Below are 4,572 nucleotides of genomic sequence, written 5' to 3' on the forward strand. Positions count from 1 at the left end.
AGTTCCAGCACTGAATAAGGAGAGTCCCAGAAAGAGAAAACAGAAAGAATGTAAAGGAAGAAAACTCAAAGAAATAGCTTGAGAAAATTTCCTGAACTGAAAGATATGAGCTTGTTGATGCAATAGCCCACGAAATCCCCAAAAGATCGAGTCATTTCACTGGCACAGGGAAGATTCAACAAACTTATGATTGGGGGGAGAAGATTTCACATGAGAAATCTAGAATCAGAATGGTTTCAGACTTTTCAGTAGCAATACTGGTGGCTAGAAGGCAATGGGCACCCTTAAAATACTGAGGGCAAACATTTTACAACTCGGAATTCCACAGCTGCCAAAATTATGAATTAGTCATGAGAATAAAAAGATTCAGACACATACTTTCTCAACACATTTTCCTCACAAACCTCAGAAAGCTACCAGAGGATATGCTCTATCAAAACTAGAAAGTAAACTAAGGAAGAGATAGAATGTAGGAGAGAGAAAGTCCCCAGCAAGAGACAAATCTTAGCCTGATGATGGTGATGGGAGGTACCAAGGTGAGAGCAGTGCATCAGGTCTAGAGACCACCCAGTCCAGGTGGGAATGGGGAGAGACTCTGAGGAAAATGGCTCCAGATGATGAAATTGATAGAATCGTTGACATGTTCTATCAATCTATCAATGAGGGAGATTCTGGAATGATTCATTAACTCTGGGAAAAGTGAAAGTAGGGAAGCATATTGATTGAATGGTTCCAAAAGTAAATGAAGTATACTATACTCCTTTGCTCTGAATATCAATTAATGAAATAATTCTATCAGGATGAAGGGAGATGGGAAATACAGTGGCCCTGGGATGGTTGTTAAAGAGAGGTAAATTCTTACTTTTCAGAGTGAGAAGTCAATAGTTAATGCTCAAACCTGAAAAGTCGAGAAGTAGCAGTATAAATATGTTATTTAGAGATATGGATATAAGATTTAAAATAGAAGGCTAAAACTTGAATGTGGTTGCCATTGGGGAGTAGACATCGTGTGTAGGTAAGAGCTGTTACTTTTCATAATGAGTCTTATGGTTTACTTCTTTAAATCACACATGTATAAATGTGTTTTTTTGAAACAAGGTCTCACTTTGTTATCCAGGCTGAAGTGCAAAGGCATAATCATAGCTCACTGGAGCCTTTATCTCCCGGGTTCAAGTGATCCTCCCACTTCAGTCTTCTGAGTAGCTAGGACTACAGGTGCATGCCACTTTGCTCTTCAAAAAAAATTTTTTTTTTTGTAGAAACAGGGTCTCACTATGTTGCTCAGGCTGGTCTTGAACTCCTGGACTTAAGTGATCTTTCTGTCTTGGCCTCCTAAAGTGTTAGGATTACAGGTGGGAGCCACCATGCCCAGCCAGCATGTATAGCTTTGATAAAAATTTATATATCCATATCAATATTTATCTATCTATCTCTGGAGCATATTGGAAAGTGGTGGTTGAAGTGGAGAAGGGTGACTTTTTTTTTTTTTTTCCTCGTGCTGCTGGGAAAATTAGCCAATAGTATAAAAAGCTAATCAGCTAATGGTGGTGGATGGGGAAGTTTGGTCTTTTGCTAGAGCCCAAAGCAGCTTCATCAGAAGCTTTGAGTTCCTAGAACCCTGGACCCAAAGGCCTTGGGGGAAGCTTGTTTGTCTAGAAGAGCCAAGATCCTCTGAGTTGCCTGAGCTGGGTGGATCCATTCTCTCAGGACAAGAGAAGGATCCAGCCCTGGCCATAAAATCTGCTGACACTGGCTGCCCTCTGCAGAGGAGGGGCTCACTCTGTTTACCTGAGCTGGGAGAAAAGTGCCCTTACCTGTTAATACCTGGAGCAGCGAGAGAACTTAGGGGCTGTCCTCCCTCTTCAGTGTGCTGCCAGCTTGAAGGATGGAACCAACAATCAAACAGATGCCTCCTACTGAGGACAACGGAACAAAGAAAATAGAACTTGTTTTTGTTTTTCTTTTTGTTTTCTGAGATGGAGTTTCACCGTTTTCGCCCAGGCTGGAGTGCAATGGTGCGATCTTGGCTCACTGCAACCTCTGCCTCCTGGGTTCAAGTGGTTCTCCTGCGTCAGCCACCTGAGTAGCTGGGATTACAGATGCCCACCACCATGCCCAGCTAATTTTTTTGTATTTTTAGTAGAGATGGGGTTTCACCATGTTGGCCAGGCTGGTCTCGAGCTCCTGATCTCAGGTGATCCGCCCGCCTCGGCCTCCCAAAGTGCTGGGATTACAGGCATGAGCCACTGTGCCCGGCCAAGAAAATAGAACTTTAAAACAATCTACAGCACCAAATATAACCTCCATGGGCATCCAGCAGCACATTACTAAGAAATGACCTGGAAATAAGAATGAGGTTTTGGCAATTAAAAATAAATCTTAAAATTCAACGGAGGAAGTAAAAAGTAGAATAAATACTGCTGAGCCATGGGAGAGGTCATCTAGAAGGTCGAATGGAGGAACTATGTTGCAACACGAAACAAAAGCATAAAGAAATGGAAATAATGAGTGAGAAGAGCAGTGATGCTAAAGCTAGGAGATCTTGTATCTGAATAATATTTGTTCCAGAAGAAGAGAAAGGAACAAACGGAGTAGAGCCAATAAAGAAAGAAACAAGACAAGAAAACTTCTCTGACCTAAAGAAGACTTGAGTATTGAGCTCAAAAGCATTCTTTGAGTGCCTAGAAATAGTAACAAAAACAAGACACATACCTAATCACATGTTGGTGAGATTTCTGAACTTCAAAGGAACTTCAAAAGAAAAAAATCCTAAAAAATTCCAGATGTAAAAACAACCAACAACAAAACCAGTTACCCGAAGAGGAAAGAGAATCAGAAGGCCACTGAAGGCATCTTTTGCAATTTGGGAAGCCCAAGGACCATGGAACAATACTCACAATTTCTGGGGAAAGTTCTCAGATCTAAGAAGCTTGGCCAAAATATTATTTAAGTGTGAGGGGAGAAGACAGACATTTTCAGATATACAAAGGTATCCCCATGAACCATTTCTAAGGAAACTATCCAAGAAGGTAGTCTAGGCAATTGAAACTTAAATTTGAAAAACAAATGAGCAAAACAATTTAAAACTCACAATAGGGAAAGACAAATAGCATGAGAAACAGTGGAGACCAATACATCTAGTGGAATATGTATTAAATAAATGAATGATGAATGAAAGAGAAGACAGGGAAGAAAAACCGTTAGAAATAGTTTGAAACTAAAATGACAGGTTATTTCCACCAAATCCAGGATTTGGGATGGAGGGGCTTGTGGGGGTGAGGATGGGGAAATAAAAGGTGCTATAGGTGTGATCTAAATTGAGGGGATTACATTACTGTATGCTTTTGGTATGATGATAGTGAAATAGGGGTTCAAATATAACTTGAAAGATGAAAGTAACTGTTAGTAAACTTGCGGTAGATAGAAAAACTTCCAAATACCAGGCAGGGGAAACATGAGTAGCTACAATTTTCCCCCCTCTATGTTCTTTAATGGTTTTGTTATTATTATTATCATTATTTTTGAGACAGGGTCTCACTCTGTCACCCATGTGGGAATGCAGTGACACAATCTTGGTTCACTGCAACTTCTGCCTCCTGGGCTTAAGAGATCCTCTCTCCTCAGCCTACCATGTAACTGTAACTGGGACTACAGGCGCGTACCACCACGCCCAGCTCTTCTTCTTTTTCCTCTTCTTCTTCTTCTTCTTCCTCCTCCTCCTCCTCCCCCCTCCCCCTCCCCTCCTCCTCCTCCTCCTCCTCCTCCTCTTCTTCCTCTTCTTCTTCTTCCTCTTCCTCTTCTTCTTCTTCTTCTTCTTGGCTTAAGAGATCCTCTCTCCTCAGCCTCCCATGTAACTGTAACTGGGAGTACAGGCATGTACCACCACGCCCAGCTCTTCTTCTTCTTCTTCTTCTTCTTCCTCTCCGTCTTCTTCTTCTTCTTCTCCTCCTCCCCCCCTCCCCTCCCCCTCCCTTCCCCCTCCCCTCCCCCTCCCCTCCCCCTCCCCCTCCTCCTTCTTCTTCTCCTTCTTCTTCTTCTTCTTCTTCTTCTTTATATTTTGAAGAGATGGGGTTTTCCATGTTGCCCAGGCTGGTCTTGAACTCCTGAGCTCAAGCAATTGCCTGCCTTGGCCTCCCAAAGTGCTGGGATTACAGGCATGAGCCATCACACCTGGCCACTGTTCTTTAATTTTTGAATTCTTTTTAATGACGAGGCTGCATTGATTAATTGCCCTTATAATTATAATCAATGAAGTAAGAAACACTGAAAAGTAAATAGTGTTCAAAGATACCCTGTGGTGCCATAAGCAATGTGTTTGGAGAAACTCCTTTCTTCCATCTCTTACATTCTTTCCCTGTATGCTTCCCCCGCTATCCAGAAACAATGACTAATGACTGTCACTAGGGAAAAGGGCTAGAGAATGGCACGTAGGTGACTTTGTGAGGGCCCAGAATAAGAACTGAATAACATATGATGCCAATAAAGATGGCTATCTGTGTACTTACAAGTTCTTATTTGTTAGGGAAGGGAGATGTTCTGGCATGCACTATAGGGAATTTTTAATCCTCATCT

This window comes from Homo sapiens, chromosome 12 (assembly GCF_000001405.40).
Source record: "Homo sapiens chromosome 12, GRCh38.p14 Primary Assembly".
NCBI lineage: Eukaryota > Metazoa > Chordata > Mammalia > Primates > Hominidae > Homo > Homo sapiens.